Source organism: Homo sapiens, chromosome 3 (genome assembly GCF_000001405.40).
Source record: "Homo sapiens chromosome 3, GRCh38.p14 Primary Assembly".
In the NCBI taxonomy this organism is placed as follows: domain Eukaryota; kingdom Metazoa; phylum Chordata; class Mammalia; order Primates; family Hominidae; genus Homo; species Homo sapiens.
Genome location: NC_000003.12, coordinates 141,302,170 through 141,328,513, shown reverse-complemented (window position 1 = coordinate 141,328,513; position 26,344 = coordinate 141,302,170). Strand labels below are relative to the sequence as shown.

At 44.4% G+C, this 26,344-nt stretch overlaps 1 protein-coding gene, 1 long non-coding RNA gene and 1 pseudogene across 6 annotated transcripts in view, besides 1 other annotated feature; 1 reads left to right on the top strand and 2 right to left on the bottom strand.

Moving 5' to 3' along the window:
* Window positions 1–4,328, bottom strand: part of ZBTB38 (zinc finger and BTB domain containing 38) — a 125,607-nt gene extending 121,279 nt beyond the window's left edge. For all 5 annotated transcript variants that reach the window (XM_047447856.1, XM_047447857.1, NM_001080412.3 and 2 more), the window contains exon 1: window positions 4,058–4,328. The gene's annotated coding sequence lies outside the window, so the exon portion shown is untranslated. The remainder of the gene's footprint in view (window positions 1–4,057) is intronic.
* Window positions 6,791–24,681, bottom strand: LOC124909441 (uncharacterized). The gene is made up of 4 exons (XR_007096119.1): window positions 24,586–24,681; window positions 20,107–22,758; window positions 16,758–16,877; window positions 6,791–9,239 (listed from the first exon to the last, which is right to left on the bottom strand). It is a non-coding gene; the product is annotated as an uncharacterized LOC124909441 (long non-coding RNA).
* Window positions 16,685–16,874: an enhancer, noted in NCBI's record as "active region_20622". NCBI's record gives its function as "activates an Ori minimal core promoter by ATAC-STARR-seq in GM12878 lymphoblastoid cells {active_cell/tissue: GM12878}" and the evidence as "EXISTENCE:reporter gene assay evidence [ECO:0000049][PMID:35858748]".
* Window positions 20,571–21,104, top strand: PHF5AP7 (PHF5A pseudogene 7; annotated as a pseudogene).
* Window positions 24,682–26,344: the final 1,663 nt, after the last annotated feature.

The following is a 26,344-nucleotide window of genomic DNA, read 5'->3' as shown; positions in this document are numbered from 1 at the left end:
AGCTGAGGGGATTTCTGGGATGGACAAGAAGTTCAGGTTGAGTTTCTGATTTGAGTAAATGAGGGGGTGGTGACATCATTCACAGAAAGAGAGATTAAGAAAAGAGTAGTGGCTTCAACAAGTTTTGAGGAGGTGCTAAGTGCCATTGCAGATGTGCTGTGCATGTGGGATATTCAAATGGGGATGGCTGTAGACAAGTGGATCTATCTCTAGATCTGAGAGTCATTGGCAAATAAGTGGTAGATGAGGCTGAGGACAGAAAAATGTCGGGTATTATGCACATGAAATTGTATGAAAAACACCACCTTTAAGCATGGATAGACAGAGAAGTCCATGAAGGAGACTGGGAGAAGGTGAACTGGAAGAGAGGGTGTCACTGTTTCTGTGCAGCGGCGTGCGAACGAATGAATGATGAATATATTATGTAAAATGATGAATTACCTTACCTTTTCTCCTGGCTTTCCCATCTTGAACTTCAAGCATTAGACTATACAACCAGAATCTTTCCCCATTAATCTTGGTGCAGCAGCCACCAGAGGCATGACCTAGTTCTGCATGTGGTTATAAAATTTCTCAAGGGTTTTCAGGAAAGATTGGAAGACACAGAGTCTCAGTAGCTTTCCAACCAGTCGTTTCCCTGGCAATTAGCTTTATATATTTTTAAAATAAACTTTCTATTTTACAGTAGTTTTTAGATTTTGAGAAAAGTTGACAAGATAGTACAAAGAATTCCCATATACCCATTACCCAGTTTCCTCCATTATTCATGTATTACATTAGTGTGGTGCATTTCTTACAACTAACAGGCCAATACAGATATAGTATCATTAACTAAAGTCCAAGCTTTATTCAGTTTCCTTAGTTTTTAACTAGTGTCCTTTTTCTGTTCTAAGGAAGCATCCAGGTGACCACATTCCATCTGGTTGTCACGTCTCCTTAGGCTCCTCTGGGCTTTGACAGTTTCTCACATTTTCCTTGTTTTCTTGATGACCCAGACAGTTTTGAGAAGTGCTGGTCAAGTATTTATAGAATTTTCTTCAATTTTAGTCTGACATTTTTCTCACGGTTGGACTGGGGTCATGGGTTTGGGGGAGGAAGACCGCAGAGGTAAGGTGCTGTTCCTGTCACATCATATCAAGGTACAGACCATCAACATCATCACTGTTGATATTGACCTTGATCGCCTGGCTAAGATAGTGTTTGTCAGATTTCTCTTTTTCCCCCTTTCCATGCTGTACTCTTTGGAAGGAAGTCTATGTGTGGCCCACACTTAAGGAGTATGGAGTTATGCCCCACCTTCTTGAGGAAAGAGGCAGTCAGCTTTTTAAATCTCACCCTGCCTTTTCATTTGAAGAGAACATCTCTTCAGCTTCTTTTCCTTTCTTTCAGACACCCTTTTAAGAACACACAGGCCTGTCAACTATAGAGCCTGACTTTACAGGGACCTTTTATGGGACTTAATATTTCTAAATGTATCTAAATACAAACACCTCAAAAAAACTACATCACAAGATTTTAAAATGCAGGTAAAATGACTTCCCTTCGGGCATGGAGGTCCCCTTCGAAGCAGGCCTAGAAGGATGCCTCCTTGTCCAGGGGTCCATCTGGCAAAGCCTCACCCTTTGTTCTACTGGTGCCACAAACGAGCCTGGCCTAACTGCAAAGTCAGGAATAATGACACCACCCCCCTCAAGAGGGAGGAATTGGAAAGGAAGTACTTGAAAAGAATAATGATGCAGAGGATCTTTTCATTGTATTATAGATAAATAAAGTCCTACTTTGTTCCAAAAACAACACTTTGTTCCTGTAAACCAAGAGTATCATTGTAAAAAAACACAACATGATCAGAGATTGGATCACTTCAAAGAGAATTAAGGCACAGAGTTTCACACCAAGACTGTAGAAAAGAGGATTATTATTTAAAGATACTGAAACTCTAACAAGAATAACTGTCATGTGAGTTAGGAAACATAGTACTTGTATCTTAGCACAATAAATTTTTACAATTTAATAAAACATTATTGCACTCTGATAAGATAAAACCTTAACCCCCCTGCTTTTGTTCCCTCCAGTGGCCATTTCCTGTCCCCCACCCTGCTCCCCTGCAACCCCCATGCCTCTCCATGGGTTGGGAGGAGCAAGGAGGCAAAGCACATTAACTGTTTTTCTCTCATTCTCTTTTCCTCCTTATTGCCTGGACTTTGAAATTCAATGTCATGTAAACATTAACTTGCTTCTTAAATAAAGCTGCAAAGAGCAAACTGTAATCTGAGCATATGATTTACCTCAACATTTTCCCATGAGCTCTAAGGATTCTGATTTCTTCTCTACCAGTATGTCTCTATCTCATAGAATTACTTTGAAATAGTCTTAACTTATCATTATTATTGTTATTACTTTGGTATTGACATGTTTTCCAAAGAATGCCTCTTCGAGATGATTTTAGATAGCAATATCCACTAAGTTTAAAAAATGTTGTTACTTTTTTTTTAATTAAAGAAAAAACATGTTAAATGGCAGCACAAGTGGTTAAAAGATGGGGCAAAAATTATACTGGCTGAAGTGTGGGACTCTGAACACTTTCATTAGTCAGTTTCACAAGTAAAATTGATCGCACAGGTAAAACCTTAATCATCTTATTATAACTTTAGGAACAACCCACAGCAGCTAAGATGTATATTTATTTGTTTTGCTAGTCACCAGCCATCGTCTGCTTAAATTATCAAGAGTGTTTGTTTGTTGGTTTGTCTTTTTTACAGTTGTGTTAATCATGGTAGTCTCAATTAGTCTAGCAAACACTTCAACTCACCAAACTCTATGCTTCACTAATGCAATCTTTGCAAAGCTGGTGTTAAAAGGAAGATTTTTCTGAATTTGCCTTGGAGATGTTTTTATATTTTCTCCTAGGTTACATTTTATTTTCCCCAAATTAAGGAAGTATACAAATATAGTGACTTTTCCTAACCTTGAGAACTTTAATATGTGTTGCTACCCGGGTTGCTGAAGAAAGAATCCCTTAGTCTTAACAGCCTGACTCTGTACAAACTATGTTTAATTACTCCCCTTCTATCTCCACTTTAGGTGGGTTCTTTTGCAATGAACAGTGTATGTCATTTAAAGTTGGCTTGCTGGACCTGAAGTGTGTCAATGTATGATCTCAAATAAATGAAAGACTGATACTAAAAAAATGCTAATTTTCTTAATTTATTCCCCCTGCACTGAAATGTTTTTCCTTGACACACAATTAAATATTTTTGAGCCTTTGCTAAATTACTGTGTGGTTAATTTTACTAAATGGCAGGAAGGTTAGATATTTGTAAATTTCCTCAGTGTATCATTCCTGATTAGTTGACCTTTTCTAAATATCAAATGGACCAGTTGCAGTCAATTCTATCACCACCATGATCAGCTTGCATTTATCCATAAGACATCTGTTTGTACACCAAAATAAAGTTCTTCACTGTTTTAGTTTGCTTTTGAAAACTGGCATAGACACAGAACAAACGGCTGTTAATGTTACAGAGTTTTGAATTTATCTTAATATATGATCACTACTGTTTAAACCTAAGTTTCAAAGAATACCTTTTTTGTTGTTATTCTGCTTGTCTGCTATTATTTTATCTTTATAAATACACTCTTCATTTTACAAAGTAACTTCAATTGCTTTATTGACTCCAGATAGCAGGGATAATATACCCAATTACTTTGAAAACAAGACTGTTATCGTCACATGATTTCTGAATAATACATTAACACTTTTTACATTCATACCTATTCTCCAAACCCTTTTTCTTTCTCTTCTGCCCTCCTTTCCACCTGTCTTTCTTTTCTTTCTTCATCAATGATTTATTGAGCATCAACATGTTAGGCACTACGCTAGATGCTGGGGAATCAATAATAGATAAACTCTTGGTCTCCATGAAGCTTATTCTATTGATTTAAAATCTTTCCTATCTGTTCCAAGGGTCATTTAGAGAAAATACACTAATGGAATTCATGAGAAGGAAAGCAAACATAGAGAGCTTTCACTAAGTTGGAGAAAAAGTATGTCACCAACCTTTAGCTGTTGCAGAGTAATCTTCTTTTCGGGCTCTGGCTATATCAACAGTTCCTCTTTTCCCCAAGAACTGGCTCTGGAAAGGGCATTCTTCTTCCTCTAGCATGAATAACCCTGGGTGGGAATGTTTAGATGGATACCAGTTGGATGAGACCCAGGGCAGCAGGAAAGCCCTCCTAGAAAACTCAAGTGCCCATATTCATTTGGTAGGGCTGCCCGAGGCCTTGGCTAGAGGGCTTCTGTGGACAACCACAAATGCACAGGAAGAATTGGGGAAAATCAGATAAAGGAAAACCATTAAATGACACACGTACAGAAGGGAAACAGTTAAGAATTAACTCAAATTAATTTAAGGCTACAAGAACAAGTGGTGCAATGGCTTAGTTAATAAGAAGCTAGTCTCCAAAGCTAGGGATTTTGAGCCAAATGACTAAGGGCCTTCAGAGCTACCAAGAGGCAGATGGCTGGACAAAGGGACCTATCACAGAGAGAATCACAAATCATCATGGGGACCAGGAGTATGCACTGTACAATGGATTGGAAACAGATTTGTTCATACATCCATCTACCCATATATACATCTGTTGATGATCGATTCAGCAAATGCTTGTTGATTACCACTGTTCTAGGTGATGGTGCTGGGGACACAGCAGTGAACATGCCCTCATGAAGCTTAAAATTCAGCAACATGCAGGGGGCATGTTGAAAAATCAACTGGAATGTAGATAGGGATTATACAAAGAAAAAGACAATGTTTAAACTTGAATCTGCCAAGTTTGGCTAGTTTCTTTGGAATACCAGAGCCCAAAGAACCTACCCCTTCAACTTTTAACTAGTCTGAGGTTGTGTCCCTTTTTTATCTTTCTCTTAGCTCAGCAAGACCATATAAGCATCCACATCTTTAGGCTCAGGCTCATCTATACTGAGGCCTCCAGGCCTGCCCTAACAGGAAACATGAAACCCTTGGATGTCTGCACTTGCCTAGGAATCAGCTTCTTGAATTTCAGATTTCTTTATGATTTTTGACCTCTAAAAATTGAGCTCAAGTCCCTGGCTTTCCCAGGCTCAATATTTACGCAATGTCCTTTGCTTAACTGATATCCATCAATCTTCATGACCACACTCAAATCTCTAACCTGAAGAATTGGAGTTGGGGGTGTAATAGCCCATTCAGAATGTGTAGGAAGCACAGTCAGTGGACAGAGGTGAGCAAACCCAAAACTGAGATGGGTTAAACACCTGGAGGCCAGATCAGGGACTATAGATCACAGGCATCATAGTTTATGGAGAACACGTTTCTTCTAGAAGGCTCTCCCAGAAATTTTTCATGCTGTGTTGCGATTTGAAGATAGTTTTGTGGTGAGAGTAAGGGGCCTCTTTGTGAATACAATCAGGGAAAAGACTATTTGTTAATTCAGACAAAACAGAAGGGTACAGGACAAATAACTATCTGTAGAAGAGTGATTATCCTTGAAGAGTCTGGAAAAGCTAGGGAATAAGGATTTATCACCGTGTCATCAGCACTGGCGGGATGGATGGATGGATGATTGACTGATCTTCTGTCCATTTGGAAGCCATGTCCTATAGACATGGACTATCATAATTTCATTCATTCATTCATTCTCCTGTTTATTTTATTTTATTATGTTATTTTTTTGAGATGGAGTCTCACTCTGCTGCCCAGGCTGGAGTGCAGTGGTGCCATGTTGGCTCACTGTAACCTCGCCTCCCAGGTTTAAGTGATTCTCCTGCCTCAGGCTCTCAAGTAGCTGGGACTACAGGCACACACCACCATGCCTAGCTAATTTTTATATTTTAGCAGTGATGGGGTTTCACCATGTTGGTCAGGCTGGTCTTGAACTCCTGACCTCAAGTGATCTGCCCATCTCGGCCTCCCAAAGTGGTGGGATTACAGGTGTGGGCCACTGTTCTCAGCCTCCTTTTAAAATCTAGATACTATTAATATAACTTGATAGGTAAGACACAATCCCTTTCCTCTTGGAGCTCACAGTCTAATGGGAAAAATGCAGGCTTATACTCAACTAATTAAAAAACTGGGTTGAGGTTTCTGACAGAAGGTTCCTTGGGATCTCAGAGCAGAGGCAATCTAATGCTCCCCAGGAAGCTGAGAGAAAGCATTCCTGAGGAAGTGATCTTTCAGTGGGACAAGGGTCACAAGGATCCTTCCAAGGTAAATTTTTTTTTTTGTCTTCACTTAGCTCTTCCTAATGGGAAAGATTTTTTAGGACTAGTCTACCATGAATAGTTCAGTATTCTTGAAAAATATGGTTCTCATTGTTAACCAGTGAGTTCCAATTAATTACTTAGAACTAGTATGTAAATTACTTACTTAGGCCTGAACTGAAATTTTTTTTGAATCTACAAAGCCCAAGACTAATCCTTCAGCAGGGGTAGAAGCTATGATAACTGAAAGACCCAGCCTAATTGGCCAGACATCCCTATTTTTCTTTACCAACTTACTATTGGCAACCGGCTCAACCCAGGAACTTTTAGGGCAGTGTAACAGCAAGCTCCACACTTCCTAAACAATAAGTAAAAATGTGTATGGGAGTGTAGCAGGGGCCTCTTCTATACTTAAAGAAGGTATTTTCAAATAGTTCCTAATAACAGTTAACTGGAGGACCTGAATTAACTTTTATTTTCCCAGGACCCTAAGCCTTTAGGCTTTCAAGCCTCTGGTAGGGCTGTCATAACAAAACACCATAGACTGGGTGGCTTAAACAATAAAAATTTATTTTCTCACAGTCTGGAACCCGAAAGTTCAAGATCAAAGTGTTGGCAGGGCTGGCTTCCTCTGAGGCCTCTCTTCTTGGATTGCACATGGCCACTCTTTTGCTGCCTCTTCACATGGGCTTTTCTCTGTGCCTCCATGTCCCTTGTGTATCTCTTCTGTGTACAAGTTTCTTCTTATAAGGAGACCAGTCATATTGGATTAAGGACCACTCTAATGGCTTCATTTTAACTTAACCACCTCTTTAAAAGCCCCACCTCCAAATACTGTCACATCCTGAGATACTGGAGGCTAGGGCTTCAATCTATAAATGTTGAGGAGATACAATTCAGCACATGACAGCGCCCCTTTGCAGATTCCTGCTCTCTGATTGCCCTATGATTCACCACTAAGGAAGCCAGTGACCACAGGGTCCTCCACTTCTTAAAAGAATGCCCACTCCAAACTAAGAGAGAAGTGGGAGAGTCTTGGGACCTGCACACCTTAGGCATACCTGTGCTTGACTACAGAGTGAGCCTCTTTTCATGTCCTCCCAGGATTTGGGACAGCTTCCTGAGTTTTATGAGTGACACAGTGAGTTTCTATTAAAAGCAGCTGAAATGTCCATTTTGTACCTCAGGAGCACATGGGAAAGATGCAGACCATTGGCCATCAGAGGCTTTAGACTAAGGAGTCTTCAAAGAGCTCAGGCTGCTTTGTAGAAGCAAAATACAAGGTAATAATAGAGTCAAGATAACAGGAAGTAAAAGAACTCTGCAAAGCACAGTTAGTACCACTCTGAAAATCACTGTTTCCTGTTTGCTAACAAATCTCATTCTCCTGAAGGACCCTGGTCAATGTGAACAGGTCCCATTTGCCAGTGGCTGTAGGTCAATTTGCTGAATGCCAGTTGTTTCCATTTTACATGTGTAGTCCCTGCCAGTCCCACCCCTTCTCTTCCTGTCCCTCTAAGTTTCTTCAGTTGTTTCCAATCTCTCTTGTTTTTTTTCCACCAGTCCCTCTAAGTGCCTTTTATCTCCTCTCCCCCTCCTCCAATCAATCCTGGTTCTTCCAAATCCCTCCTGGCCCCACACATCCCCCCCTTTACATTCCAGTCCTTTAGTACCTCCCATTGTGTCCACTCCCCTAGCCCCTCCCACTCTTCCCCAGCTCCCTACTACCTCAAAGTGATCACAAGCATTTTAATGTTGATAAGGGGGCCAAATTGCCTACCACAAATGCTGTACCAATTTACATGCACATCAACATTAAACTCAACAAAAAGACTTGATCTCAGAAATACCTTCAATAACCCTATTACTCTTTAACTATCTGATAATATGCTTTGTGAAAATAAACATCTTACTGCTACTTTATTTAGTATTTTTTTGAATACTAGTAATGTTGAAAATGCTGTCATATGTTGGTTGTCCAATTGTGTTTCTGACTATGTAATTACCTGTGATATGGTTTGGCTGTGTCCTTACCCAAATCTCATCTTGAATTCCCATGTGCTGTGGAAAAGACCTGGTGGGAGGTAATAGAATTATGGGGGCAGGTCTTTCCATGCTGTTCTCATGATAGTGAAAAAAGTCTCATGAGATCTGATGATATTATAAGGGGAGTTTCCCTGCACAAGCTCTCTCTTTGCCTGCTGCCATTCATGTAAGATGTGACTTGTTCCTCCTTGCCTTTAGCCATGATTGTGAGGCCTCCCCAGCCATGTGGGACTGTAAGTCCACTAAACCTCTTTCTTTTGTAAATTGCCCAGTCTCAGCTATGTCTTTATCAGCAGTGTGAAAATGAACTAATACATTAAATTGGTACCAGTAGAGTGGGGGCATTGCTGAAAAGATACCTGAAAATGTGGAAGTGACTTTGGAACTGGGTAACATACAGAGATTGGAACAGTTTGGAGGGCTTGGAAGAAGATAGGAAAATGTGGGAAAGTTTGGAACCTCCTAGAGACTTGTTGAATGGCTTTGACCAAAATGCTGATAATGATATGGACAATGAAATCCAGGCTGAGGTGGTCTCAGATGGAGATGAGGAACTTGTTGGGAACTGGAGCAAAGGTGACTCTTATGTTTTAGCAAAGAGACTGGCAGCATTTTGCCCCTGTCCTAGAGATTTGTGGAACTCTGAAATGGAGAGAGATGATTTAGAGTGTCTGGTGGAAGAAATTTCTAAGCAGCAAAGCATTCAAGAGGTGACTTGGGCATTGTTAAAGTCATTCAATTTTATAAGGGAAGCAGTGCACAAAAGTTTGGAAAATTTGCAGCCTGACAATGCGTTAGAAAAGAAAATCCCATTTTCTGAGGAGAAGTTGAAGCCCGCTTCAGAAATTTACATAATGAAGAGCCAAATGTTAATCTGCAAGACAATGGGGAAAATGTCTCCAGGGCATGTCAGAGGTCTTCATGGCAGCCCTCCCATCACAGGTCTGGAGGCCTAGGAGGAAAAAGTAGTTTCATGGGCTAGGCCCAGGGTCCCTGTGCTGTGTGCAGCCTAGGGACTTGGCGCCCCGTGTCCCAGCCACTCCAGCTGTGGCTGAAAGGGGCCAATGTAGAGCTTGGGCTGTGGCTTCAGAGGGTGCAAGCCCCAAGCCTTGGCAGTTTCCACAAGGTGTTGAGCCTGCGAGTGCACAGAAGTCAAGAATTGGGAGTTTGGGAACCTCTGCCTAGATTTCAGAGGATGTGTGGAAACACCTAGATGTCCAGGAAGAAGTTTGCTGCAGGGGCAGGGCCCTCATGGAGTACCTGTGCTAGGGCAGTGCAGAAGGGAAGTGTGGGGTAGGAGCCCCCACACAGAGTCCCTAATGCAGCACTGCCTAGTGGAGCTGTAAGAAGAAGACCACCATCTTCCAAACCCCAGAATAGTGGATCCACCAACAGCTTGCACTGTGCACCTGGAAAAGCTGCAGATACTCAACGCCAGCCTGTGAAAGCAGCCAGGAAGGAGGCTATACCCTGCAAAGCCACTGGGGTGGAGCTGTTCAAGACCATGGGATCCCACCTCTTGCATCAGCGTGACCCAGATGTGAGACATGGAGTCAAAGGAGATCATTTTAGAACTTTAAGATTTTACCGCTCTGCTAGATTTCGGACTTGCATGGGGCCTGCAGCCCCTTTGTTTTGGCCAATTTCTCCCATTTGGGACAGCTGTATGTACCCAATGCCTATACTCCCACTGTATCTAGGAAGTAACTAACTTGCTTTTGATTTTACAGGCTCATAGGTAGAAGGGACTTGCCTTGTCTCAGATGAGATTTTGGACTGTGGACTTTTGAGTTAATGCTGAAATGGGTTAAGACTTTGGGGGACTGTTCAGAAGTGATGATTGGTTTTGAAATATAAAGACATGAGATTTGAGAGGAGCCAGGGGTGGAATGATATGGTTTGGCTCTTTGTCCCCACCCAAATCTCATCTTGAATTCCCATGTGTTGTGGGAGGGACCTGGTGGGAGGTAATAGAATCATGGGGGCAGGTCTTTCTCATGCTGTTCTTTTGATAGTGAATAAGTCTCATGAGATCTCATGGTATTATAAGAGGAGTTTCCCCGCACAAGCTCTCTTTGCCTGCTGCCATCCATGAAAGACGTGACTTGCTCCTCCTTGTCTTCAGCCATGATTGTGAGGCCTCCCCAGCCATGTGGAACTATAAGTCCATTAAGCCTTTTTCTTTTGTAAATTGTCCAGTCTTGGGTATGTCTTTATCAGCAGTGTGAAAATAGACTAATACAGCCTGTTAACATTCTTTTTCCATTTTTCAATTGGGTTGCCTTTTTCTTACTGATTTATTTTTTATTTATCTTGTGAATATTTTTCTTCTACATATACCCTGTCTTCTAACTAACTGGGCTGAGACAGATTGAATATTCCTTAAAATGCTGTTATACAGATATAAAGGAATACTGGCCAACAAATATTTTGCAGAAATGTTCAAAAACTGTTAAAAGAATACCATCCAGTATGAATTGCCAAAAACCTTGTAAATAAGTAAAAGGAGCAAGTAAATGTGGTGAATTGGTCAATCATTGAATTGGCTTTTAGCAAATTAGTCTGTTTATTTTACCAGCATGTCTTCTCAAATACCTCAAAATATGACATCACTTCTTAGTTTTATATTTCCATTTTCCCCTCATATTCATTACCTTTATTTCTTTCCTTCTTTAATCATGTAGGCAATATATTTTATTGTGGAAATAATTTAAATATATACAGGGAATTGTAGCAGGCATTTTTTTGTGCCTACCTAATAGTCATGCCCTGTCTTCCATGTTGGCAAAGCCCAAATTTTGCTCAAGTATCTACTAATCTTGTTAATTGAATTATTTAATTCTCTAATATTATCACAGGAGCTGGGTGTGGTGGCACTCTCCTGTATGCCCAGACACTCAGAAGGCTGAGGCAGGAGGATCACTTGAGCCTAGAAGGTTGAGGCTACAGTGAGCTCTGATTACACCACTGCATTCCAGCCTGGGTGACAGAGCGAGACCCTGTTTATAAAGAAATAAAAATAAAAATAATTTTATTATAGCTTGTGTATCACTTATCCAAAATGCTTGGGACCAGGGGTATTTTGGACTTTTTCAGATTTCTGAATATTTGCATTATACTTACCAGTTCAGCATCCTTAATCTGAAAATCCAAAATCCAAAATGTCCAGTAAGCATTTTCTTTGAGCATCATATGGGCACTCAAAAAGTTTCAAATTTTGGAGCATTTTGGGTTTCAGATTTTGGGATTAGGATGTTCAACTGGTAACAGGTTTATGGATTTCTAAGAGTTACATTAAGAGAAGGAAACTTGTCTTTGATTTATGAATTTCTAAGAGTTACATTAAGAGAAATTTGCTTTCCTAGCCCAAAGGCCCTTTGGTGAGAGGGAGGGACCCTGGGACCACATACGGTGATCACACTGGGAGCAGGTCCACTCACTCAACCATGGTGTAGTGAGGCCACCTTTATGCCTCTTGTGGACTTCCATTTAGAAGGTGCTCAGATGAATTCCTAAAGGGGTCTAAAGTGGATTCAGGGTATGGCAGCCACCCCAGTATATATCTATTCATGAGGGCTTTTTGTGAGAGAATCTGATAGACGCTGTATATGTATGTATGACAAATGATGATATCTTGCCTGACCCTAGGGGAGAGAGAGACTACGCCAGAATCCATTGAGATCGCACATGTGGCTAGAAGTCTGGAGGCGCTCAGGTTACAAAACAGGTGTGGTGGTTTAAGCCTGTAATTCCAGCAACTTGGGACCAGAGTTTGAGAACAATGTGGGCAATGTAGTGAGATCCCATCTCTCAAAAATAGAAAGAATTAACCAGGCATGGTGGCATGCACCTGTAATCCTAGCTACTCAGCAGGCTGGGGCAAGAGGATTGCTTGAGCCCAGGAGTTCAAGGCTGTAGTGAGCTATGATTGTGCCACTGCCCCACCGCCTGGGTGACAGAGCAAGACCCCATCTGTTGAAAAAGAAAAAATCACAACTATGTTGCAGAGACAGACTCAGGAAGCTGTGAAATGTGCATAAATTTTTTTAGAGCCAAACAATGCACATTCAGGCCCAATATATCAAATTTTTCTTTGGCAAATCTCTTTAATTGTCTGGCTTAATAAATGACAGCTGGGTTCTCAGCTTCCACGTTCCTGTCTATTCTGATGCTTTAGTTAAAGTATATGCAGAAAATCTGGTCTACCAGAGATAGGTAGTTGGAAATGGGGAGATTATTTTAACAGCTTTTCAGGCAATTGTGAATATTATTCTTGGATACTATACCAAAACTCAACAAATATATAGCTTGTTAATGTTTAAAAGCAAAGTGGAATCTAGAACTACATCCATTAACTTCTTGAGTTATTATTACATTAAAAATCCATTGGACTGTCTTGCAATTGGAATAGATTTTTTTTTTCTTACCCATCCATCATGGTTTTGTACCATCATGAATAAAATACTGGTTCATTAAGTGTAGTGTTATTAAAATATGTCCACATATTCTTTGATACTCCTCACTTTAAGAGGTGGAGCTTAGGCCGGGCGCAGTGGCTCACGCCTGTAATCCCAGCACTTTGGGAGGCTGAGGTGGTGGATCACGAGGTCAGGAGTTCGAGACCAGCCTGGCCAACATGGTGAAACCCTGTCTCTACTAATAATACAAAAAATTAGCCAGGTGTGGTGGTGGGCGCCTGTAATCCCAGCTACTCAAGAGGGTGAGGCCTGGGAATTCCTTGAACCCGGGAGGCAGAGGTTGCAGTGAGCTGAGATCATGCAACTGCACTCCAGCCTGGGTGACAGAGCAAGGCTCCATCTCAAAAAAAAAAAAAAAAAAAAAGTGAAGTTGTTTTTTTTTTTTCTGCATGGAGTTATGCAGATCTTCCAAATGTTGGCACATTTCATTATTCAATATTTTTTAAAATCACGTTTATTAATACCATCACCAAGCTCATCAGAAAAACTTTTTAAGTATTGGGATGTTGTTAAGCTTGTGGTGGCAGATATGTTTCCTTTCTCTTTCTTTTTTGAGATAGGGTCTCACTCTGTCACCCAGGCTGAAGTTCAGTGGCACAAACGTGGCTCACTGCAGCCTTGACCTGCCAGGCTCAAGTGATCCTTCTGCCTCAGCCTCAGCTGTGACCATAGGCACACACCACCACGCTCAGCTAATTTTTTTGTAGAGACAGGGTTTTGCCACGTTGCCCAGGCTGGTCTCGAACTCCTGGCCTCAAGGGATCTGTCCTCCTTGGCTCCCAAAGTGCTGGGATTACAGGCGTGAGCCACCACGTCCAGCCTGGATAAGTTTTTCAAAATTCTAACCTTTTTCTTGAAAACTCAAATTTTCTCATTGGCATCAAATAATGTCAGTTGTTTCCTTTGAAGTGATTAGCTTACTTTGTTTTTTTTAGAAAATGTCTATTAAATACTCAGGTCCCAATCATACTATCAGTTATCAAAAGAGGTGTTTTCCACGTATGCTTATTGCAGCACTATTCACAACAGCAAATACTTGGAACCAACCCAAATGGCCATCAATGATAGACTGAATAAAGAAAATGTGGCACATATACACCATGGAATACTATGCAGCCATCAAAAAGAATGAGATCATGTCCTTTGCAGGGACATGGATGAAGCTGGAAGCCATCATTCTCAGCAAACTAACACAGGAACAGAAAACCAAACACTGCATGTTCTCATTCATAAGTGGGAGTTGAACGATGAAAACACATGGACACAAGGAAGGGAACAACACACACTGGAGCCTGTCGGCGGTGGGGACAAGGGGAGGGAGAGCATTAGGACAAATACCTAATGTATGCGGGGCTTAAAACCTAGATGACAGGTTGATAGGTGCAGCAAACCACCATGGCACATGTATACCTATGTAACAAACCTGCACATTCTGTACATGTATCCTGGAACTTAAAGTAAAATAAATAAATAAATAAAAGTTTGCAAAAATACAATGAAAATAAAAGAGGTGTTTTCCAGAAAAAAAGGTCTAGTTCAGCTACGAACTCAAGCACAGAACTGCTTTTCCTCAGGACATAATACCTTGGTGTGCAGCAGACTTGCTTTATGCGCACTTCCCATTTGTCACACAAAATATTTAAACGTCATGTAATCAAGGCTCAAAATGGAGTAAAATGAATACTCTTTACAGCTTCATTAAGGACATTAAGTGGAACTGGCTTTCCCATCCCCTTCCCCTACAAGTATACTGGTGAAAAATACAGTAACTGCCAATATAGTTTGGTGCCACTGCCTTGAATCACACCAAGGTTCCAGCAGTTTTACCTATGATTTTAAACGTAAATGTCACTACAGTGAAAAATGCAAATAAAACTTAGTATTATTGTGAAAACAGTTTTGACCTTGCAGATTCCCTAAAAGGATCTCAGGGATCTCCAAAGGTCTACCCAGGTAGGAAATGTGGTAACATGGAGCAACATGGGAGAAGGGACAGGCACCTCTGGGAAGCCTGTACTTCATGAAACTGTCTGTCAGAAGACACTCAGTTACCAGTGGTTGTAGCTCCCTAGGAGCGGTTGTGATGCAGGACAGGAGAGCCACAAAATGTGGCTTTTTCCTTGGCTTTGCCCAGTAAAGAATTCAAGGGCTAGCTGGTGGCAGGGTAGCCGAAAACAGCTTGATTGAAGTGGCAGTGTTACAGCTCCATGACTGATCCTGCAGAGCAGGACTACCCCATAGGCAGAGAGTAGCTGCTCAGGGCAGTTCTATGGTCATATTTATACCTATTTTTAATTGCATGCAGATTAAGTGTTGGTTTATGCAGAATTTTCTAGGAAAAGGGGAGTAACTTCTGCGTCATCGGGTCATTGCCATGGAAAGAGGCGGGAACTCCCGGGTGTAGCCATGGTTACGGTAAACTGACATGGCACACTGGTGGACATGTCTTATGGAAAGTTGTTTCTGCCTCATCCTTGTTTTAGTTCATCCAGTTACGTCTATTTCTCGACAGGTCCTCTAAGTGGCTCTAAAGGGGAAAGGTGAAAATATGCCATGGGGCCCATTGCTAGGGTCTGAGGGATAAGGCTGGGAGTGGAGGAAGTGAGGAAGAAGGCCGGCCACCTACAGAACTCAGGCATTTGAGAAGATAAGCTGGATGAGCCCAGGCCACAGGAAAATTATCTTCTTGGGAACAGAGGTGGCAGATCAGGAGCCACAGATCTCCCCGCCACCCCCCAGCTACTGTCCACGCCTGTCTCCACCGCCTGAAGCCCCTCCTCCGACAGCCACAGCCAGAAGTAGAAGAGCTGTGGAACTCACATGTAGGGCTCTGTGGGTTTGGCTCTTAGAGTCAAGATGGTCACCGCCTCCAAGCGGCAGATAAGCAATGCAGGACTGGAGATAAGGGCGAGGGACAGACCATCTAGCCACCAGCCTCTACCCCCTAGAGACACCAAGAGGTGGGCAGAGAGCAAGTACTGGCCACAGGCAAAGCCAGAGCAGGCAGAGGGAGTGTATAGAACACCCTTGACATAAGTAACTCCATCTTAGCAAAAGACTCCACTTTACGTTTCAAAAGGCATCATGCCAACAGAGTCCCGATGTTCGCCTAACCAAAAAAGAGTGTATCCAACCAAATACGGGCATAAACAGGCACACTCCTTCACTATCAGTCGTCACCAGAAGACCCCCGTGGCCATAAAAAGAGCAGGACTTCTCTAGCTCTAAATGGCCGTCTTAACAGACCCTATCTTGCTGTCGCCCATGATAAACACCCGGCATCTGCTGCCTAAGGCTTTGCCCACATCAAAGACTCTTCCTTGCAAGACATTGAGGCCAGGACACCTTGTCTCTCCTGGGACTAGTTTGTTAACCCCTTTTCCTATCTATCTCCTTTGCTCTTGATGTTAAATGTTACCCTGCTTGATGTGGAATATTTAATCTACAACATTTAACATGTTGACTAAGTAGACTATTTTGTATGCTTTGCAATACTGACTTGGTGTAGTGGCTGAAGCCTGTGTGCCTATGGCTCTGACTACGGAGTGAGCGAGTGAGCGGGTAGTGTTAGGGGAATTGCCTCCTTGGGAACTCCATGTAGCTCCTGGCTTTTATGACTGGAATAGCATCAGTAAAAGTCTCACCTGGCGGAAAGACACAAACGTGGTGGACCTGGTTCTGTCTGACCCTCCTTGCTCGACTCAACGACAGAGAATGAGCTGGGAATAAGGGCAATGCACAGCCAACAGCGGAAGGGCTGTGGCCAGGCCCCTTCCTTCCTAAGTCCGGGTTTCTCTGGCTCACGAACGACCCCTGGAGGTAGACACCCGGCGACACCGCCCACCGGTCTATCCCTTCAGAAACCCTGTTCCCTGCCCGGTTGGCCCGCCTTCCGCTTTCGAAAGCAGAGGCAGTTCCGGGGTGGGAACCGCGCGGAGCTTTCTGGGAAATGTAGTCCTTGTCAAGAGGCTTCTGGGAGTCGTAGTCCCTACCTGTTCTTCCGGCGCACGGCCTTTCCGTTTTCCTGTTGCGGGTTCTATCGCTCTGCGGCGTGGGAAAGAGGCGTGCGCGTCCTTGCGTGGTCCTGCTTCGACCTGTGGTCTCTCTGGCTTCTGGTCGGGTGGGGAAGGTTTATGGGGTGGAACGTGAGAGACAGGCTTGGGCACTTTTGCGTCTGGCAGTTAGGCAGCAGGTGGTAGTTTCCATGATGGGGACGCAGGGGCAGCGCCAAAGGGCCCCAGAGAACGAGGCATCCAAGGGGGAAGGGGTGTGGGATACGAGCCGACTGAGGGGAGACGCGCCCAAAGCCGGGGACCTCACTACCCCAGAGTCGACCTTGAAAGAGCCCTCGAGTCAGACTGAGGAGATGGGCAGTATCCTCCGACAATGGAAAGCCGTTGTTCGCTTCAGGGGAGACGCGCTGTGACCCAAAAGTCATTTTACCGTCATCACTATTGCTGCAGTTCATTCAGAAGGGTTTTGGGGGAGGCCATTGAAGGCTGAGCAGCAGCCCAGGGAGAGTTGATGGGGGCTGATGGTGGGAGTGGCAGCATGGATTCAGTGGATGATGAGGGATCAGGGAGTGGGGCGAGTTGAGGATTCCCAGTTTTCTGGTGTGGGCTGTAGGCCTGTCTGCAGATACTCTCACCTAGTGGAATTCTTTTCCGTAACCTGTCTTAACTTAATGAGAGGCTTGATGGGTAAATGGTTAAAGATGCACGTGCACATCCCTTCACCAAACCATTCAGATGCTCACACTAAACCCAAAGGCCACTCGTTCACTTATGCACACAGCTCAGTTATACCTACCCTTGTGAACACACCGGTATGTAGTACACACAGCCACATAACAATTCATGATCACATACTCCTGGCATCAAACAAAGGGTAAATATATCCATCTCAGTTTAAACGGCCTCTGCTATCTTGGGCGAAGTGTGACCTCCACACAAGAAGGACCCAGGTTGACTTCCTCAGTCCTCTCTGGAAACTTCAAACAGCTCAGCCTTTATCCTTTCTCTTGGCTACATCCACCTCCTCTAAGGTCCTCTGACTCTTCCTAGTCATCTTCTGCCACTCTGGCTTGATGGGAGGGAGATAGAAATGGGCTTGAATTCAGACAAGGGCTTTGCTTATCTGAAATGTGTTTGCTGAGGTTCTTATTCCCAGAGCAGTAGCTCTGAACATAATATTTCGTGTGTGCTGAATTCTGTTGAGAATCCAAAGAAAGTTGTGAACCCTCTTCCTGGATAAACACACATCTTTACATCCACACTGTTTTGAAAGCAAAATTGAAACCCATATGTCGGGCCCTGGTTAAGAACCTCACCAGAAGATCAGAACATCAGTTTCCTGATTGCCCTCTGTCTTAGCTCATTCAGGCTGCTCTAACAAAATACCTTAGACTAGGTAATTTATAAGTAACAGAAATATATTGTTTACAGTTTTGGAGGCAAGGAAGTCCAAGATCAAGGACTGGACTGGTGAAGGCTTACTCTCTGCTTCAAAGATGATGCTTGGGGCTGGGCGCGGTGGCTCACGCCTGTAATCCCAGCACTTTGGGAGGCCAAGGCAGACGGATCACGAGGTCAGGAGATCGAGACCATCCTGGCTAGCACGGTGAAACCCTGTCTCTACTAAAAATAAAAAAAAAAATTGGCCGGGCATGGTGGCAGGTGCCTGTGGTCCCAGCTACTTGGGAGGCTGAGGCAGAAGAATGGCATGAACCCGGGAGGCAGAGCTTATAGTGAGCCGAGATCAAGCCACTGCACTCCAGCCTGGGCGACAGAGCGAGACTGTCTCAAAAAAAAAAAAAAAGATGGTGCCTTGTAGCTGTGTCCTCACATGGTGGAAGGGCCAAAGGGCCAAGTTAGCTCCCTTCAATTCCAACTCCTTTTATAAGGCCACTAAGCCCATTCCTGAGGCAGAGCCTTCATGAATTAATCACTTCCCCAAAGGTCCCATCTCTTAATACTATCACATTGGGTATTAGGTTCCAATATATGAATTTGGGGAGATCACCAATATTCTGACCATAACACCCTTTCTGCAGTCTTCAAGTGGCTCAAGAGGGGGAGAAGAATAGGGTCTCAATCCCCATAGGAGTTGGAGTGTGAGGAAGGGGCAGCCTCTTCTCCCATCCATCTGTAACCCTTAGTTATGGAGCCAGACATCAGTTATTGTTGGTCCTCCACTGGGCAGTCAGTCATTCAGCTGGTTAAAGAGTCAGTTATGTAGTCAGTTTAAGCTTGTCAGATGTTTAGTTACCTACAGTTAGTACATCAGTAAGAAATCCAGTAGGTGGCCAGGTGTGGTGGCTCATGCCTGTAATCCCAGCACTTTGGGAGGCCGAGGCGGGCAGATCACGAGGTCAGGAGATTGAGACAAGCCTGGCTAACACAGTGAAACCCCGTCTCTACTAAAAATACTATATGTATATATATATATATATATATATATATGGTGGCGGGCGCCTGTAGTCCCAGCTACTTAGGAGGCCGAGGCAGGAGAATGGCATGAACCCGGGGGGCAGAGCTTGCAGTGAGCGGAGATCACGCCACTGCACTCCAGCCTGGGCAACAGTGCGAGACTCCGCCTCAAAAACAAAAAACCAAAAAGCAACAAAAAAAGAAATCCATTAGGTCAATCAAGTGATTTGTGTGTTTAGATATTTAATCAGCCAACCAGCCAGTCAATTACTCAGGATTAACTTTTCAGATAGACAGTGGTCCATCAGGATCCATCAGTCAGAAAGTCAATTTAATGGTCAGTCTGTCAATCAGAGTGCTAGTTGTTTAAAATGCTAAACACCTGGCTCATCAGTGGGACAAAAGGGCAGCTGGGGTGAGGCCATCTGGACACAGAGCGTGTCTCTACTTGCTACAGCTGGAAAATAATGTACACAGGTGGGGAGAAGATTTGACTCCTCCTGGGCCGCCAGAGGGAGCTTTGGTTTGCTGGGAAAGAGGCCTCACGTGGTGTGGTTGACAGGGAAAGAGGAAAAGCGGCAAAACGTGGGCCAGGCGGAGTTGCCACCAGAAGGTGGTGTGGCCTTCCTTCACGTCTCCACCCTGCATACTCCATCGGCTTAACTTTAGGCTTGAAGGAGCCCACTTCTGGCCGGCTTTTGAGGAAAGGCCCCTGGAAGGACTTCCCATCCTAGGGCGTACCTAATTGAGGCATGCTTGGCTCTGAGCTGGGAGGAAGCCAGCCGGCTACCCACCAGGAGAAGGACTTGCCCTCCCTGGTTGTCAGGGGCATGCCAGCCAAAGCACCGGGCAATGGGGGAAGAGAGGGAAACTGGGGTGGGGATGCTGGGGTATGGGGAAATCAATACCATACCTGTCTGCCCAGGAGCAAGGCAGGGAGCAGCTTCCTAAAGCTGAGGCACTGAGGGCAGGATCTCTGGTTTGTGGGAGTCTACACCATATCCAGGGCTACTTCTCATTCAGCTTCTCCAGGGGCCACACTTTGAGCCTCCATACTCCCATTCTTTTGCTGAACTCTGTGGTCAGCAGCTTCCTCTCAAATGAACAGCAAGTCCAACTAAAGCAGGAAGGATGGAAGTTAGACATAGATAATGAAGAAACAAGGGGAAAGGATGAACCCTCTTGGGGAATAGTGGAGATGTTTATATAAGGTTCCAAATGCAGTGTTGGGCACAAAGGCAGGATTCAGTAAATTTGAGTCCCCCCAAGGGAGGTGCATGTGGCCAATGCGTTGTAGCTCCTACTTATGCATAAAGCATGATTTGATGCCTCCAGATGGGCTTCTTGGCTTTAAAAAGAGGGCAATGCAGCGTGAGCAGGAGCTACGGCTGAACATTATCTGGGTTTGATCTTTTGCTGCAAGCAGGCTGATGTTGCCATCGGAAGATTGTGTGAAAACTGACGGCAAGTGTGTGATTTGTGACCGCTGTGTCTGTCCCTTCACCCTGGTATGCTTATATGATGAGTGTAACTATGGCTTTTACCAGGGACACTGTGAGATCTGTGGAGGCCATGGGAGTCTCTGATGCCTATTATTGTAAGGAGTGCACCAGCCAGGAGAAGAATAGAGATGGCTGCCCAAAGATTGTCAGCTTAGGGAGCTCTGAGACAGGCCTCTTCCATGAACGTCAAAAATGTGGCATCAGAAAGAGGTGATTGGTGGGTGGCCCCTTCCTTCCCTGCATCGAGCTGCAGCAGCTGCCAGAAATGACGCCTACAACTATCAACAGAAAGGGAGCGGAGCCCCGGGCATCGCCGAAGTGCCTGCCGGTGTACTGGGACCCTGCCACCTCTCCCTCCCCTTTCGTACAAATGTGTGATAGGGATGGAAAAGGATTCTTTACAGAACACCCTGGCAGACTGAATCACAGAAGAATCGATAGATTAGTTACTGTTTTTTCTTGAATTTGAAAAGCAAGGTTCTGTCCTGCATATGGATATGTCCTCCCTACCCGGAGAGCTTCTAAAAACAAGTCACGGTTCAGTCTTCTGCTTGAGGAGCTGACTGTGAAGCTGCATGCAGTAAAAGACGTGTCCTTGAGGAGACTTCAGTGTGTGGCAGGAAGCTATCAGAACAAGAAATGAGGACCTTTCATCTTTCACATTAAAAAAAAATGTGGGCAGGGCTGTCATTCTGGTTTCAACTGGTTTTGGTGTCTCAGAGCAATGGAGAGAGTCATTTGTGAGAAATAATGACTCCTGCCAGGTGGAGATGGTCCATGTGTCTGGAGCTTCACATACACTCTGCGGGAGTCATCATCCCTGGTTTAGGGATTGTAGGAGCCTGGGTACCTTGCTTGAGGCTCCACACCTGCGAAGTGGTAGAGAACTGGATTTGAGCTTGGTCTATATGGTTCCAAAGCTCTTTTTCTAGGTGATCACACTGGAGACCACAGATAGGGAAGGGGAGAAGAGTGGAGGACTGAGAAATCACTGGCTTCTGAAGTGCTCTGGAAGCGACTGTCCTCTCGGAGATCCTGTCAATCTCACACCCCACACCATGATCCAAGACGCTTTTTCTGTCTTCCAGACATGCAGAAAATCCATCAACAACTGCAGTCCATGTACTCAGGGAGGCCCTTAGGGAGCCTGGATTTTATCTGGAAGGCTGTGGAGGGCCAAGGAAGCGTTTTTAATTTGATTTACGCTGTCATGAATGTAAAATCTATACATGCCGGAGAGAACTATTTAGTATGTATTGGTAAGCCATCACACATGCTTTCTGTAGACCCCTGTGAGGAATGTTTAATATAATGATATAATGACTATGAGTAAGGGCTTGAGTCAGACTAGTTTGCCTCCCAGTTCTGCCACTTCGTGGCTGAGAGGCCTTGGCAAGTGACCTCTCCTCTCAGTTTCTTTCCCTGTCTTAAAAATGGGGATGATAGGCTGGGCGGGGTGGCTCATGTCTATAATCCCAGCACTGTGGGAGGCCAAGCTAGACAGATTGCTTGAGCCCAGGAGTTTGAGACCATCCTGAGCAACACAGCAAGACCCCATCTCCAAAAAAATATATGAAAATTAGCTGAGTGTGGTAGCTCGTGCCTGCAATCCCAGCTGCTCGGGAGGCTGAGGTGGGAGGATTGCTTGAGCCCAGGAGCTTGAGGCTGCAGGGAGCTATTACTGCCATTGTACTCCTGCCTGGATGACAAGGGTGAGAGCTTGTCTCCAAAAAAAAAAAAAAAAAAAAAAAGAAAAGGGGATGATAATCTTTAAGTCACAGGTTACTGTGAGATGAAACAAGGTTCTGCGTAAAAAGCACACTGCATGTCTTGGGCGTTGAAATGCTCAACAAGTGCTGGCCCATCCTGCACATAAAGTGCATCTCGTGCTCCATTTCCAACCCTCTTAGTCTTTTTCCAGTTACTGATTTCTCTTTTTTGCCTTAAATAACAGACATTTATTTCTCACAGGTCTGGAGGCTGAGAAGTCCAAGGTCAGGGAGACAGCATTTTCAGTTGCTAGTGAGGCCTCTCTTCCTGGCTTGCAGATAGCCACCTTCTTACTGTGTCCACACATGGGGGTGGGGAGGGAGGGAGAGAGAGAGAGAGAGAGATTGATTCTCTTGCCTCCTGCCCTAGTGTTTCTCTGATGCCATGGTGTACAAGGCACCCTCCTGCTGGGCAGTCATGCACATGCAAGTCAGCAGAGCAGGGAAGGCAGCTGTGGCTGGTAGCCAATGGATAAATGTTTCCCACAAGTGAACAGTTCTGAGATGTATTTCCCAAGCCTTCTTAGGAGGTCCTGTGGGATAGAGCACCCAGTTGCCCCTGTGCATCCTTACACTGGCTTTCCCTCCTTCCCCTTCTGTCCCCTCTTTCACTCCTGCTCCTTTGGTACCACATCCCCTAACCAACTTAACAAACTACTACATTTAAGCTTTTTTTTTTTTTTTTTTCTCAGACTCTGCTTCAAGGGAGACCAGGCTAAGACAATCTATTATAACAAGATTCCGTTTTCTTGGAAAAGCTACATTAGGAAAAAATGGGAAAAGAAACAAAAGGAGCTAGAAATATAAATATCCATAACAGAGATGCAAGAAGGGGATCATCCCCTTGAGCAGAGTAGACTCTTGACTGTAGCCCAAGTGTCAAGTTTACTTATTCACTTGTGTGGACGTAACAGAGTAGGGGGCGCAGGGAGAGGTACCAAGCTAGAGGGACCTGGAAGAGTTTATAGTCTAGCATAATTCACTTTCCAGTCCTGAGTTGGCCACTTACTATTGACTGTGTGATCTTATGTACACGTCTACCTCTGAGCCTCAGAGCTCAGAGCCTTTCCTTACGTGTGAAATGGGGATAATAAATGCCTACTTCAAGTGCTCACTCATACTGTGAGATACACAGACTACATTAGTTGAATGTTCAGCCTAGTGTCCAGCCCATGGTATCTGTTCAACAAATGGTAAGTCACAGCCCTCTGTAATTAGCTTTGGATTGTCTGAAATCAAATTTTTCCTACTGCTTCCTATGTGCATACTTAGCTTCTGCAATAAAATGGTAAGCCTCTCAAAGGCAGTGATAGAAGATCTATTGGTCATCAATAGATACTTATCCCTTTTCTAGAAATGAGTCCAGCTTTCCTGCCCATGCTAGCAGAGACCTTAGCCTCTAGGATTTGCTTGCTTTCCATTCAGGTCAGTTCCCAGGAGGCAGAGTCTGAGACAGACGTGTGTGCAGGGGGTTGCTGGGGAGTGCTCTCAACACTGTGAAGGATGCTGGATGAGGCAGAAGTTGGGCTATGTTGTAGTCACAAGGCCTTGGCTTGACCCCAAAGGCGCTCTGAAGCTGAGATGGCCCCTCAGGGTTGTCCCTGGGCCTTCCGATCCCTATTCTGACCAATCATTGGATGTGGCTGCCCTGGGAAGGAGCATGTCCTTCAGCAGATGGCTCTCTGCTCCAGAGCAGTGCCCTGAAAGCACCGACAGCCAAGCACCACCAGCAACTGGGGGAAGAAGTCCTGAAGTGGGGGATCAGGGTGGCGCAGCATCCACACCTTCAGTGTAATGGTGGCTTTGGAGAGTGTGGTAGTCACTGCGAGTTCTCTACCCAGTACCCACTTTCCCTTTTTTCTCGAGTGAAAGGAGGCTGAGCTTGTTTGGGACAGCAGTGTGCCCAATAAAGATCCTCACTTCCCTCGACTCGTTTACAGCAGAGGTAGCCAAGGGGCCCCACTCTGGCCAGTGAGAGGCGAACAGGAGTCTGGGTTCCTGATGACATAATGGCGCCACTGGCGAAAGTGAAAGGCTTTATTGCTTAGGCCACTGTCATCAGGTTTCGGTAGCACGGAACCAAAGGCAGTCCTAAATGGTTCAGGAGGCATTATCACATACCCTGCTTAAGAGCATGGTCCTGCGTGTGATATGGGCACAGCGGGAATCCCAGCTCTGCTGCACACTAGCAGCCGTGTGGAGCCTCAGACGAACTACTCCTCGTGGTTCCCTTTTCTGTAAAAGTGGGAATGACAGTAGTATTCTCACTACCATTTCAACATATAACACCAGGGTAACCAACTTGTTCCAGTTTGCCTGGGACTTTCCTGTTTTTTAAGCACTGAAAGCCCCACATCCTGGGAAACTACTCAGTGCCAGGCAAACCTGCACAGCTGCTCAACCTATTAAAACACCCTCAAACTACCCTGCTTCCTTTACAGATGGAAGACTGGAAAAATTGTGTTGATGCTGCCCCCTAGTGGTTGAATGTAATGTAACTGCTGCAAAGATACATTTTACATTATAAGTTTTCTTGAGAATAGCAAGCCACAGATGGTTAGAGGCAGAGTTGGAATATTCCCCTAACCATTTAGATTTAAATGTAGAACTGCTTTAACCCTATTATATTATTCATCGATATTTGCCAGCAAATATACTATCTGGTAGGACTATTGTGAAGATTAATGAAATGGTGTAAATTTTCCCATGGTATCTCATATAGTGGTTGTTTTTTTTTTTTTTTTTTTTTTTTTTTTAATGACAGGGTCTTACTCTGTCATCCAGGTGGAGTGCAGTGGCACAATCACGGCTCAATGCAGCCTCAACCCCCGTGGGCTTAAGCAATCCTCCCACCTCAGGCTCCCAAGGACCTGGGACCACAGGCATGTGCCACCACTCCCAGCTAATTTTTTTACTTTTAATTTTTTGTAGAGATAGGGTCTCCCTATGTTGCCCAGGCTCATCTCAAATTCTTGGGCTTAATGTGCTGGGATGACAGGCATGAGCCACCATGCCCAGCTATAAGTGCTCTTCAGTTCACTGGTATCATGTGAACTTGAGTTAGACTCAGCTGTGACTCTTCCTTTGAAAAAGTGACTTCAACCCCTGCCGGGCTCCCCCCGCCTGTTTTCCTCATTCACATTAGGGAACTAGGACTTTCCTCAGAATGTTGTGAAGATTCATGAAGAAACACTTGTGGAAACCACGTAGTTGGCACTACATGGCCAACTTTACTGCTGACAATGTTGTCTGGAAGGCAGGCCTCAGGCCATCCCTCTGCTGAGGGGCTCTGTAGCTCTCAGGAGCTGAGCTGGCCCTCAGGGATGCCTTCTCCTCATCAAGGCCAGTCTCCGCTGGCAGTCGGGCTTCAAGAAGTCCTGCCCAGATGCTCTGATGTATTCAGCCGCTTCCTCTTCAGCAGAAGCTATTACTCATCTGAGCTGGCTCCTGGGCAGGCACAAATACAGGGGGACAATCCAAACATTCAGTTCAGTGGCCTTGGGCAATGGGAGTTAACTGGTGTTTAGGCCAGAGCTTTGTGCTGGCTGCTCTTAAAGCCACAACTGCAACATAAACCCCAGCTATTTTCTGCTACTCGTGGTTGTGTTTAAACACAAGGTGGCACACCCACCCTTGTCTGGACTGCTAAATCTGTTCAGAAGGCTTCCCTGAGATTCAGAGAAACAGAAGCATGTATCTCTGCCTCTCTCTAGACAGTCTTTAAGACTTCTGGAAAAAGGAATCACCTAAATCTTCCAGAAAGTCTAATTCTGCTATGGCTATGAAAACCCTCAAATAGGCTTAATAGCAATATTAGATTAAGATCCTCAATTTCATTTAAAGTGAAGTTAGAGAAAGAATACTTACATCAGGCTGGGCA